Source organism: Homo sapiens, chromosome 4, assembly GCF_000001405.40.
Source record: "Homo sapiens chromosome 4, GRCh38.p14 Primary Assembly".
Classification (NCBI taxonomy): Eukaryota; Metazoa; Chordata; class Mammalia; order Primates; family Hominidae; genus Homo; species Homo sapiens.
This window is the reverse complement of record NC_000004.12, coordinates 1,070,267-1,083,364: the sequence shown is the minus strand read 5'-3', so window position 1 is coordinate 1,083,364 and position 13,098 is coordinate 1,070,267. Positions and strand designations below refer to the sequence as shown.

Below are 13,098 nucleotides of genomic sequence, written 5' to 3'. Positions count from 1 at the left end.
GGCCCCCATTGAGTTTTTGTTCTGTCCATTACAGTTAACATTTTGAGAACATTCCTGCTCATTTCACCATTTGGAAAATAGTCCTTGCTCATTGTTGCATCTTCGTCTTTTATGTAGTCATTTCACAGGCAGCCTTTTTATTTTCCTTACCTGATATCCTCAGGAATCCAAATCTGCCTTCTTTTCTTCCACTCTCGCTGGAGGGAGGTATATTTCTGCTGATCTCTGGTGAGGTTGCACAGGCCAATCCCACTCTCTACATACCTGGTATCGCCTGCATTTTCCTCCAGAGAGGATTCCCATGTGCTCTGCCAGCCCAGCTGACCCGCCCCAGACCGCTGCGCCCCCGACCCCGTCTTGCCCGGCCTCACTGTGGTGGCGTTCGTGCCACCCACTTTTGTTGTCATTGTTGTTTTTGTCATCATCCTCTTGCTCCCACGAAACAGTGCATTTTAGAGTTGTCTGGAATCAGGAGCAAGTGCCCTTCAGAGGAGCCAGGCCACGGCCCTGCCAGACGCAGAAGGCTCAGGTACTTCCGCCCACCACAGTCAGCCACGCAGCAGCCAGTGTTTACTGAGCACCAGGTGCATTCTCAGCACTGTTCTGGGGGCTGGCAATTCGGAGTAAGCCAAACACGCCCAGTGCCCGTCCTCTGGGAGCTTCTGTGTGGGGAAGAGGAGGCAGAAAGTGAACTTGTATGTCGGGCCGGGACACAGGCTGTCAGGATAAGTGACTCTGGGTGAGGATGTTGAGGGGCAGTGCCAGGGCAGGCTCTAGGAGGTGACTCAGAGCGGAGGCCCCAGTGGTTGAGCTGTTGTGCAACTGCCTATTCCTAGCTGGCTTGGTCCCAAACTGAAACTGCTGAGGGCAGACTGTTCGTATCTCAAAACCCAGCCAGCATAGACGGGCACTCGGTGCCAGGAGACAGCCCCACCCCTCATGTGCAGTCATGCACCTCAGTGTGTCCACAGAAACAGACACGCTCCCCCAGTCTTACGTGTGCATCTCAGCATGTCCACCAGGCCCTGTGAGGCAGAGAGGACCCAGGTGCAGCAGCCTTCTGTGGCCGGGAGTCACAGGGCACAGCAGGTGGTCTCTGCTACTGGCCATCGTGGAGATCAGTCCAGGGTTGCTAGACTGGAAAACGTGACCAAGTAACTTGTCCATATTTCTCTTGCTGGCCTGTTTTTCTTTCTTTTCTCTTTTCTTTCCTTTCCCTTTCCCCTTCCTTTTCCTTTTTTGAGATGAGTTCTTGCTCTGTCACCCAAGCAGGAGTGCAGTAGTACAGTAGTACAATCACAGCTCACTGTAGCCTCCAACTCCTGGGCTCAACCAATCCTCCCGCCCCTGCCTCCCAAAGTGTTGGGATGATGGACATGAGGCACCATGGCTGGCCTCTTAGTGGCCTTTCAAAGCTGGTGCGTTAGTGGCTCCTGTTGTCAGGTCTTAATTTCACACCTTTAACACCCGCAGTGGCCATGTGCTGAGTGACAGTTGCAGTTGTAAGAGCCAGTGATGTAAATGGCAGTGGGGTGTTGAGTTCACTTGGCTTCAGCGCTAGGGAGGAGCAGGGCCGTGCGACTCACAGGACGCTATGGGAACTGCTGAATTCATGTGAAATGCCGTTTGCAAACCCAGTAAGAACATTTCACTGATTCAGAGCCTTCTTACACTTTCAGTTGGGATGACCTGGGGGGAAGTCAGTTTTTATGATTTAATTCAATACCTTTTCTCCATCTATTTAGTATGAGATCATCACAACAAACAGCTTTCAGCACAATAAAAAGTTCAGTTTCAAGTAAGTAAAATCATGCCAGAAAGAGAACAAAATAGAGATGCATGTTGCTGAGTCACACTGTGTGCACTGACGCTGGCATTTTCGTCATCACTCTTCCAGCAAAACCACACGGATGCCTGCTGCCACCTCACTCATCAGCCCCCGACAGGTGTGTGGGTTGCTTGCAGAAATCACAGGACCTGCAGGTCTTTCCGATTCTGCACCTGCCTTCCCATCCCAACCCCACCCCCTCTCCAAGCCCCCAGATTTTGCTAATCCATACAGTTGACTGGACATGAACTCATTTTGGTACTTATTTCATCTCCCTGCGAGGCTCAGGTCCCAAACTAAGTGTGTGATCCAGGTGGCCAATCAGAGCACTCCATCCTGCAGCGACAGTGATTGGTTTGGGAATGATCATGTGACCCAGTGTTCTGCGTGCCCCCCGCTCAACTGGCGTTCCAGTGCCCGGCAGCTGACAGCCCTGCCCTAACAGGAAATTAAGGGGCTGACCTGGTGTGCCTTATATGGAATCCTTCTTTCACCTGGGGGATGGCCTGAACCCATTACCCAACCCATGGCTGGGGGTCCCTCACACAGGAAACGTTCATACTGGCACATGTCCTGTGGCTTGTGTCTGCCCCATCTCCAGGCTATGCCTGCCTGGCCATCACTCTGGCACAGGGAGCCCAACCTCATGTTCCCTCCAGCATCCCAGAGAAAACCCGGCCTGGGGTAGCTCCTAGCTCTTCAGATGGAAGGCACAAATTCAGTCCACCCCTGTGATAGGAAACACATTCAGATTTATTACTTACAGGTCCTGGACAGGGAGGGCGCCTGTGGGGAGGACAGTGCTCTGTCCACAGGTAGCAAGAGGCAGGAAAGAAGGCTCAGGCAGAGAGGGGTCTCGTGGGCCAGCACCTTTATTGGGGCTCAGGGCGTCATCCAGGCAGGTTTCCCGTGAGGAGTTTTAATTGGTGGGTTTAGAGCAGGCAGGCACAAGCTCCACGGGGTCCCGCTGTGACTGAGGGCATCACTGTGGTACATCTGTACGGTCAATGAAGGGTGAGGGGTCAGCGGGGCCAGCCAAGTGGGTTTTGTCCACCCTCCCACAGGGAGGTGGCCACTGGGAGGCAAGTGTCCGGATGGACCACTCTGAGACACTGGGAGCGGGTGGAGAACTGGAAACTGTTGAAGGTGACTGAGCCCTGCCTCTGGTATGAGAAAGTTAAACCTGTCTTCAAAATGAGTGCTGAGGCCACCTAAAATTAGAATTCACTCCAGCCAGGCTGGACTAATTGGAGTCACCCCTGGGACTCTTGCTGGAGCTGTTGGAAAAGAGTGAGCCTCTTTCCGCAGAGATCACGAGCCATAAGGATGGCAGGGCTAGGAGGGGGCCAACGCAAAATGAATCCTATGATGTTTTCCTGTCTGCCTTTGGCAAATGAAGGAACTAGTGCGTACCGAGCGTGCACGGTGTGGTATGTGTGGCCAGGCAGTGAGTGATCACAGAAGTCAATTCGGGATCCCACTCTCAGAACGTCCTAGTCCAGCAGGCTCCAGGCAGGTGTTGGCAGAGAGAAGAGAAGGGGTTGTCTGGAGGGAGAAGCTGAGTGTGCAGAGGTGCAAGAGAGGAATGCCAGGGAGAGCCCAACCAGGGCGGGCCGGCCAGCGGCCTCTGTCCTGGAGAGGCTACATCCCAGTACAGACGGCGGGTGGCCCTAAAGAGGGAGGAAAATGGCAGTGATCAGATGCCTAAGTGGCTAAACTCTGGCCGCAGCATGAAGCTAGAGGAAGATTTAGACATTTACACATCATCTCGTCATGTGTGTATTTCAACTGACGTTGTTAGAGGTAAGTCCTGGGCTCACTCAAAGCCTTTCACTATGTGTTTAACAGACTGGAGTCGATGGAAGTTGATCTCTCTCCTTCTCCGATTAGAAAAGTAAGTGCATCTCTCCTGCTGAGTTCCTCTGTATACCAGACGTGTGGCATTTCCCATTTTCCTCAGTAGTGAAAAACGTAACCTCTCGTGCAACAGTAGACAGACTTTGCACAGTGCTGCTGCTTCGTGTGCTGGTCCCGTGGGTGAGAGGGGTGGGCTGTGGCTATAAGCTGGGTCATGAGAACGCTCCTGTTCTGCCTGAATGGCCAGGACTGCAGTTGCATCTGGAGAAACAAAAGCAAATGCGGACGAGGTGTTGGCAGGGTCCCATGCAGGTTCTGTGTTGTTCCTGTGTTGTTCCCGTACAGGTCCCATGTTGGTCCTGTGTTGAATCTATGTTGGTCCCATGTTGGTCTTGTGTTGACCCTGTGTTGGTCCCATGTTGGTCCTGTGTTGACCCTGTGTTGGTCCCATGTTGGTCCTGTGTTGACTCTATGTTGGTCCCATGTTGGTCTTGTGTTGACCCTGTGTTGGTCCTATGTTGGTCCTGTGTTGACCCTGTGTTGGTCCTATGTTGGTCCTGTGTTGACCCTGTGTTGGTCCTATGTTGGTCCTGTGTTGACCCTGTGTTGGTCCCATGTTGGTCCTGTGTTGACTCTATGTTGGTCCCATGTTGGTCCTGTGTTGACCCTGTGTTGGTCCTATGTTGGTCCTGTGTTGACCCTGTGTTGGTCCTATGTTGGTCCTGTGTTGGTCCTGTGTTGACCCTGTGTTGGTCCCGTGTTGGTCCTGTGTTGACCCTGTGTTGGTCCCATGTCGGTCCTGTGTTGACCCTGTGTTGGTCCTATGTTGGTCCTGTGTTGGTCCCGTGTTGGTCCTGTGTTGACCCTGTGTTGGTCCCATGTCGGTCCTGTGTTGACCCTGTATTGGTCCTATGTTGGTTCTGTGTTGATCCTGCGTTGATCCTCTGCTGGTCCCATGTTGGTCCCGTGCTGGTCCCTGTCAGTCTCTGTTGGTGTCAAGGAGAAAGGGCAGCAAAGTTGGTGGCCCTGGGCTTTAACTGCCTTCACTTGCTGTCTCATGAAATGACAAACAGTGCTGAAGAAGACAGTAGTAAACTTTGTCAGCCCAGGAAAAGAAATGGGTCAGAAAAGCCAAGGACTCTGGGAAACAGGAAGCAACAACTTCAAGCTGGAGAGAAGCAAGACCAGAGGAAACCTGCCCGGAACTCAGGGAGAGTCCAGGCCCGGCTCTCCCGTCGTCTGTCCTGGTGGGCAGAACTCAGCGCCAGATGTACCACATCGGCCACACACCAGGCAGCTCGGAAACGGGAGAGAGGAGGCAGTTTGGGAAGGACTCAGGGCAGAGTGAGCTGCACCCCATAGGAGGGATCAGGACTTGAGAAGCCTGTGGGGCAGGAGGGGGCCGAGGAGCAAAGGCAGGAAAACTGAGTGTGTTCTGGCGGCGGTGAATGCCTGTGTTCCACAGTGCCAGTTATTGGCTTATTTGATTTATGTGTTGCTTCGGGTTGTGCGACACAGTGTGGCTCATTGGCAAGCACTGTTCCGAGCCCTTTATAGATATGAACTCAGTCGTGTAGCAGCCCTGTGGCATGGGTAATCACACCCGGAGCCGGATGATGGAGGGACCCGGAGTCAGAATAAGAAGGCAGAACTGGATCCAGTAGGGAACGAAGAGCCGTCACAGCTTCCGTGAAAGAGAAACGCCAGTTCCTTGGCAGTTGGGTCAAGCACACGCATCCTCTCCCTGCCCAGCTCACCTCTGCCATCCTCATGGCCACGCCCACACCCACCGGCAACACGGGAGCTGTGCTTCCAGAGGGACACGCTTCCTTATGGGTGCACCTCCTCCCTAGGCAACTGGCCCACATCGAGGACCCCACCTGCCCCCTCAGGCCCTGCTGGAAGCTCTTATGGAGCCCTCCCCTGGGTCCCTGTAGGTCCCCACCACCTGCTTTGGCTCCCCCAAGGCCAGACACCTGCTTCCAGCTGTCCCTTGCTGCACTAGGGCCTTGTTTCACGGATGAACTCACAGCCTCCAAGTCCCCACAGCTTAAGGAGGAAGAACTTTGTTCTGTCAGGTCAGCTTTCTACCTTTCCTTAGGATCTGAGTAATTGAGGAGGATAGAGAATACTCAAGACTGGCAGGCAGCAGGCATGTCGGGCTCACGCCTATAACTTCAGCACTTTGGGAGGCCAAGGCAGGTGGATCACTTGAGCCCAGGAGTTTAAGACCAGCCTGGGCAACATAGTGAGACCCTGTCTCTAAAAAAAAGAAAAAAGAAAGAAAAGACTGGCAGGCTAAATTGATTGACACTTCACTAGGTGCTACTGTTGGAAATTATTGCTGAGGAACCAGAATGTAATGAATCAAAGTTCCTAAGTGAGGGGCAAAGACCAGACATGGGCATTTTCTGTCTTTTGCTTTTTGTTTTTTGTTTGTTTGTTTGTTTGAGACAGAGTCTCACTCTATTGCCTATAGGCTGGAGTGCAGTGGCGAGATCTCGGCTCACTGCAACCTCCGCCTCCCGGGTTCAAGGAATTCTCCTGCCTCAGCCTCCCGAGTAGCTGGGACTACAGGCACGCACCACCATGCCTGGCTAATTTTTGTATTTTTAGTAGAGACCTGGTTTCACCATATTGGTCAGGCTGGTCTCGAACTCCTGACCTTGTGATCTGCCCACCTCAGCGTCCCAAAGTGCTGGGATTACAGCCTGGCCAGCACACATTTTTGTAAAGGGCCAGATAGTAAAACATTTGGACTTTGCAGACCAGACAGTCCACAGCTACTCAACTCTGTCATGGAATTGCAAAAGCAACCATAGAAAGTATGGAAGCTAATAGGCATGACCATGACTGTGTTCTAATAAAACTTCATTAACAAAAACAGGCTGCAGGCCATAGTTTGCCAACCCCTGTGCCACACCAGAATGCAAATTTCAAGGAAAGTGTCTAAAACCAACTTTTCACCTCCCGAAACGCCTTGTCACCCTGGAGTGGATGTGTGTAGCAGTTCCTTTGGAAAGAGCTCCCGTCCTCCCTGCCCCACATGATGGCCTAGAGTGAGAGGTGCTCCTGGTAACCCTCAGCCTGAGCAGAGGTTCTGGGACACCACCTGTTGCCTGTGCAGACTGAGGTCTCACTCTCTGGCCTGCAGAGAGCAGTGTGCAGGCCTCTCTCGAGGTGAACCTCCCACACTGTTCAGGGCTGCATGGGAAAGAGCATTATCGGGGGTGCTCTTGGTGGGGTTCCTGCCCCAAAGGCTCGTCAGAGGGAGGGCCACAGTGCAAGGGTCTCTCATTGGGTGGACTCGGAGAAGCAAAGCCAGCGCCATCCCATGACAGCGCCTGGGGCACAGCTGGGCCCGCCCAGAGGGGATTGGTTCTTTTCCTTCCTCCTCCACCCTTGCTGCTCCAGGCCTGGGGACCTCAGGCTGCTGGCACTGGGGAGGAGGAGAAGCAGAGCCTAAGGCCCCCACCCTCCTGGACAAGGTGCCCGGGAAGGCAAGGGAGAGTCTGCCTTCACATGCAGATGGAAGTGTTGACTAAGGTGTCTGGCTTGGCGGGATAATTTCTAAGTTAAGGCTGTTAACCTTAAATGAGCATGGCATTTTCTATTATGTAAAATTGACCAGGATTAACATATCTTTTTGAAAAGGTAAAATCATGACTCACAAATACAAAATGAATACCATTCACACACTTCCTTCAACTTATGAGGTGGCCAGACACAGTACCTCACGCCTGTAATCCTAACACTTTGGGAGCTGAGTCAGGCAGATCCCTTGAGCCCAAGAGTTTGAGACCAGCCTGGGTGACATGGCAAGACCCCATCTCTACAAAAAATTAGCTGGGCATGGTGGTGCACACCTGTAGTCCCAGCTACTGAGAAGCTGAGGTGGGAGGATCACCACCAGGAGGTTGAGGCTGCAGTGAGGTGAGTGACTGCCCCACTGCACTCCAGCCTGGACGACAGTGAAACCTTGTCTCAAAAACAAAAGGTTATGAGTTAATGAGGGAAACCAGCTGATATAGTTTAGATATTTGTCCCTGCCCGAATCTCATGTGGAATTATAATCCCCAGTGCCCGAGGTGGGGCCTGGTAGCAGAAGTTTGGGTTATGGGGGCAGATCCCTGGTGGCTGGTGCTGTCTTTGCCATGGTGGGTGAGTTCTCACGAGATCTGGCTGGTTAAAAGTACATGGCACCACCCCCCAGTCTCTTGCCTGCTCGCCCTGCAACGCGCCTGCTCCCCCTTGGCCTCCCACCCTGATTGTAGCCTCCCAAGGCCTCCCCAGAAGCAGCTGTTGCCATGCTTCCTGTACGGCCCTCAGAAGCATGAGCCAGTTAAACCTCTTTTCTTTATGAATTACACAGTCTCTGGTATTTATCGCAGTGCAAGAATGGCCTAATACACCAGTTAAATGTGAAAACTGGTTTAAAGGAGAATCCAAAGAGCAAACATGCGTGTAGGCAGCCAAATGCAGATGTGAACACACCGATGCGTACACAGCCCCTCCCATGTGGCAGGAACCAGTGTCTTGCCCAGCCAAGTCTGCCATGGCCCATTTACAAGAAAGGTTTGCACCACTGTCTTCTGTAACTCACAGCTGTCAGACAGCACCAGGACGGGGAAAGACACCAGCACTTGAACGCTCTGCGGAGATTTTCTCTAAATGGAGCAGCAAATGGAATGTAGTTCGAAGGGACGGTGATGTCAAGGGGATTCTTAGGATGAACTTGATATTGAAGACATCCTAGCGGATGGAAGGATCCAGAAATGATGGCATAGCAGCACTCCAGGCAGGTGAAAGGAAGTACCTGGAGCCTGTCCTGATGAGGCAGGAATATGTCTGGTGTTCACAGGATGGCAGGCAGAGGCTGAAGGTACAGAGACAAAAGCTCCTGATTTCACAAGATTCTGTCTTCTTGGGGGTAGGAGTGAGGTCATGAGCTTCAGGTGGATGGGGAATGTGCTTAGTGGACAGCTCCATGAGAAAGCTGGCCTGCAGGCAGCTCAGAGGGCCATGCCAAGCAGGGGGGTCCGTCCTTCCAAGGTTAGAGTCTTGCCAGTGAGTAGGAGTGGAGGACTGGCAGGGTAGGGCCAAGGGTGTGGCAGAGAGAGTCCCTGGAGCAGGGCACTCCTGTGCTGGTAGAGAGACCATGAGGACACAGAGGGGCTTCCACGGTGTACTGGAAGGGCCTGTGGATTAAAGGATCTGTGGGGTGGCTGTGCCGGGGGCAGAAGCCAGGAAAGTGGGTAGCAGAGGTCTTGGCGGGGCACAGTTGATGGCGGCAGAGCCTGAGGACCAGCGGGGTGAGGCAAGGAGCCTGGGAACAGGAGATGCCAGCAGTGAGTGGAGAGCCAGAGGAGCGAGCCCAGGAAGGGGCAGCAACTAGAAGTAGCACCTTGCCATGCCCCCAGGTCGCACTGAGAGGCAGGAGGGGCTCAGAGCAGAGCAGCCTCCCTTACCAGTCTCAGAACCTGCGCTGGCAGCTCTGGGTTCACAGGTTCCTGTGGGTTGAGGAGGGATGGTGGCAGAAGCGGCCTCGTGGTTGCTGGATAGAGTGAAGGGTGGGCACAGAGCAGGGCCCAGCACACACAGCTCTGAGCAGCATTAGCTCCAACCTGTCCATCAGCATCTGGATTTCAAGGTGACAAAATTATGCACCCAAGAATGATTTACTCAGAATTTCACATTCTCTAACATCAGCTGCAAATTTTGTTTTTTTTCACCTAAAATTCCTAGTAGAGCCCTTTATCCGTTCACTGTTTTAGGCCCTGGTGGAACAGAGGGAATCAAACAGGTAATCAGGTAATACCCACCCACACCACCTCTACCACCAGCAGGCAGAGTCGGGAGGTGAACACAGAATCAAGTTAGACAGGAACTTGTCAGAGGGCGATAAAGATGAGGGAGATGGGGTTCTGGGAAATGTGTTCCTAACAGACAGTGGGAGTCCGAATCTCGTAAGCCGCAATATTGGAATTTTACCCATTGTTTTCTTGTTGCATTCTTAGTCTGAGATAGCAGCCGGCCCTGCGAGAATCTCCATGATTAGTCCACCTCAAGATGGACGAATGGGTAAGTAAAATGTCCTGTAACCTCAGACCGATACATGCATCGATTAAAATGCATTCCCTGAAAGGTCATGTTTAATCAAAGCTGTCAGAACCTACCCAAGGGGGTGCTGTCCTTCCACCCGGTGCATGGGAGGCTACATATTCACCAAAATGGTGCAGCTTTTGAGTCCTTCCAGGGAGAAGCTCCTGATGACCGTGTAACAAGTCACAGGAGATAACTGGCTCCTTTGCATTCTATGTCCTCTTGGTTTTAAACAAAAATAGTGTCACTGGGTTTGCTTCCTGGTAATTGGCTTTGAATTGCTGGTCCCTTTTCAAAGTGAATCCCTCCCTCACCCTCAGCACACATCCACCTCAGCCCACACAGGCCATCTCCCCACACGCTGTCTCCTGCATCTTCCCGCAGGGCCACATCTAACAGCTTCTTTCTGTTTCATCCCATGGTTGACCTTGTCTAAGCCCCCTGTGCCCGGAGAGTGTGTCATTTCCAGAGGTTCACCATGTTTCTGCATAGACGTCTGTCCTCACTGGCTGCTCCTCCTAGCGTTCAGTTCTGGAAGGCACGGGGAACTCACCAACTCTAAAACACTTCCAATATATGCTGAGGTACAAAGGGCCGTCTTGTTTCCGTTCCAGCAGGCTGAGGGCACCCTGGACACGTTCAGAACACCCGCTGTGTCTGTTGTGTTTCCTCTTTGCCAATTTGAAAGGAAAAAGTCATTTTGATTTGCATTTATGTGACTATTAATGATTCTGAGTGTTTTCAATTTATTCCTCTGTGTTTTTTCTACAAATTATCTGCTTTATTCCTTTGTCATTTATGTGGAAGCCCTCAGTGTGCAGGATATTAACCTTTTACCCAATTTGCTTTGTAATTTTATATTTGACCTTTGAATTTTAGAGACAATATTTTTATGTACTCATATATATTGTTATTATCCCTTTTATTTTATAGGTTCTCATGCTTAGGGAGTTTTTTTTTCACATACTTAAATCATTTTTTTCTAACTGGGTGGTTTTTAAAACTTTTTCTTAGAGCAGTTTTAGGTTCACAGAAAAATTGAAAGGAAGGTACAGATTTCCCATATACACCATGACTCCACACACGCACAGCTCCCCCATCATCCTCATCCTCCACCAGAGCAGTCCATGTGTTAAAACTGATGATCCTACTTGAATACATCATTATCACCCAACGTCCATGGTTTACATTAGGGTTCACTCTAGGTGTCGAATGTTCTATGGGTTTGAACAAATATCTAGTGACATGTGTCCCCATCGTAGCAGCATATGGAATAGTGCCACACCCTAAAAATCCTCTGTGCGCCACCTGTTCATCCTTCCCCCACCTCCCACCAACCCTTGACAGCCACTGATCTTTTTACGGTCCCTTTTTCAGACTCTCCTGGAGTTGGAATTGTACAGTATGTGGCTTCTCAGATTGACTCCTTTCACTTAGCAATACACACTTATGGTTCCCCCATCTCTTCTCATGGTTTGCTAGCTCATTTTTTCAGTCACTGAATAATATTCCATTATCTGGATGTATCATAGTTCATCCATTCACCTACTGAAGGGCATCTTGGTTGCTTCCAAGTTTTGGCAATTATGAATTAAGCTGCTATAGATGTCCATGTGCCAGGGTTTTGTGTAGACATGTTTTCAGCTCCTTTGGGTAAATACTAAGGAGTGTGAATGCTGGATCAGATGGTGAGAGGGTGTTTAGTTTTGAAAGAAATTGCCAAACTACCTTCCAAAGTGGCAGCAGCTTTTCGCATTCCCACTAGCAACGAATGAGAGTTCCTGTTGCTCCACGTCCTCACATTTGATGATGTCAGTGTTCTGGATTTTGGCCAGCTGATAGGTATGTAGTGGTATCTTGCTGTTTTATTTTGCATTTCATTGATAACATATGACTAGGAGCATCTTATGCTGATTTTTCATCTGCATATCTTCTTTGCTGAAGTGTCTGTTAAGGTATTTGGCCCATTTTTTAATTGGATTGTTTTCTTATTGTTGAGTTTTAAGAGTCCTGTGTATATTTTGGATGACATTTCTTTTTTGTGTGTCTTTTTTTTGGATGACATTTCCTTATCAGATAAATATGTATCTTGAAAATATATTCTTCCATTTTGTGGCTTGTCCTTTGTTCTCTTGACATTATCTTTCACAGAACAGAATTCTTCTAGTTTTTAATGTTTACCTTCTTCCAAATTCTTTGGAGTTTATCTTGAGGTATGTTGTAAGATGAGTTTTTTTAATAATTTATTTTGAAAATACTTCAAGCACACAGAAAAAATTGTAAGAATAGTATTTTAAAAACCAAGTTAGTTTTTTTAAAATAATTTATTTTGAAAATATTTCAAGCACAGAAAAAATTGTAAGAACAGTATTTAAAAAACCAACTTAGTTTTTAAAAATAATTTATTTTGAAAATACTTCAAGCACACAGAAAAAATTGTAAGAACAGTATTTAAAAAAACAAATTAGTTTTTTAAAATAATTTATTTTGAAAATACTTCAAGCACACAGAAAAAATTGTAATAACAGTATTTAAAAAAATTAGTTTTTTAAAATAATTTATTTTGAAAATACTTCAAGCACACAGAAAAAATTGTAAGAACAGTATTTAAAAAAACAAATTAGTTTTTTAAAATAATTTATTTCGAAAATACTTCAAGCACACAGAAAAAATTGTAAGAACAGTATTAAAAAAAAAACAAAACTCCAACATCTCCCTTGTCCAGATTCCCCAAATGTTAACATTTTGTTAATTTGCTCCCAATCTGTCATCATTGGTATTTCTCTGAACCACTGAGCATGTTACCGATGTGGTGCCCTAGCATCGCTAAAAACCAAGAACACAGTCTTACAAAACCACCTGTAACTCTGGCCAGGCACCCACGTTGACACAGCACAGTCCTACAAAACCACCTGTAACTCAGACCAGGCATCCACGCTGACACAGCGCAGTCCTACAAAACCACCCACAACTCAGGCCAGGCATCCACGCTGACACAGCACAGTCCTACAAAACCACCTGTAACTCAGGCCAGGCGTCCACGCTGACACAGCACAGCCCTACAAAACCACCCACAACTCAGGCCAGGCACCCACGCTGACACAGCACAGTCCTACGAAACCACCCGTAACTCAGGCCAGGCGTCCACGCTGACACAGCACAGTCCTACAAAACCACCCACAACTCAGGCCAGGCACCCACGCTGACACAGCACAGCCCTACAAAACCACCCGTAACTCAGGCCAGGCGTCCACGCTGACACAGTACAGTCCTACAAAACCACCCGTAACTCAGGCCAGGCGTCCACGCTG

General features: G+C 49.6%; 1 protein-coding gene across 26 annotated transcripts in view; it reads left to right on the top strand.

Annotated features, from left to right (window-relative positions):
• Positions 1 to 13,098, top strand: part of RNF212 (ring finger protein 212) — a 57,460-nt gene that overhangs the window by 30,346 nt on the left and 14,016 nt on the right. For 5 of the 26 annotated variants that reach the window (NR_159499.1, NR_159504.1, NR_159500.1 and 2 more), the window contains 2 exons: positions 9,703 to 9,766; positions 10,225 to 11,887. Coding sequence is in view for 15 of the 26 variants with exons in the window: in XM_017008040.2 (XP_016863529.1) it covers positions 1,746 to 1,798; positions 1,898 to 1,946; positions 3,677 to 3,722; positions 9,703 to 9,766; positions 10,172 to 10,491 (532 nt within the window). In the remaining 11 variants the exon portion in view is untranslated. Of the gene's footprint in view, positions 1 to 1,745; positions 1,799 to 1,897; positions 1,947 to 3,676; positions 3,723 to 9,702; positions 9,767 to 10,171; positions 11,888 to 13,098 lie in introns of those variants that run through there. The other 21 variants (XM_017008040.2, NM_001131034.4, XM_011513439.2 and 18 more) reach the window with 13 other exon arrangements.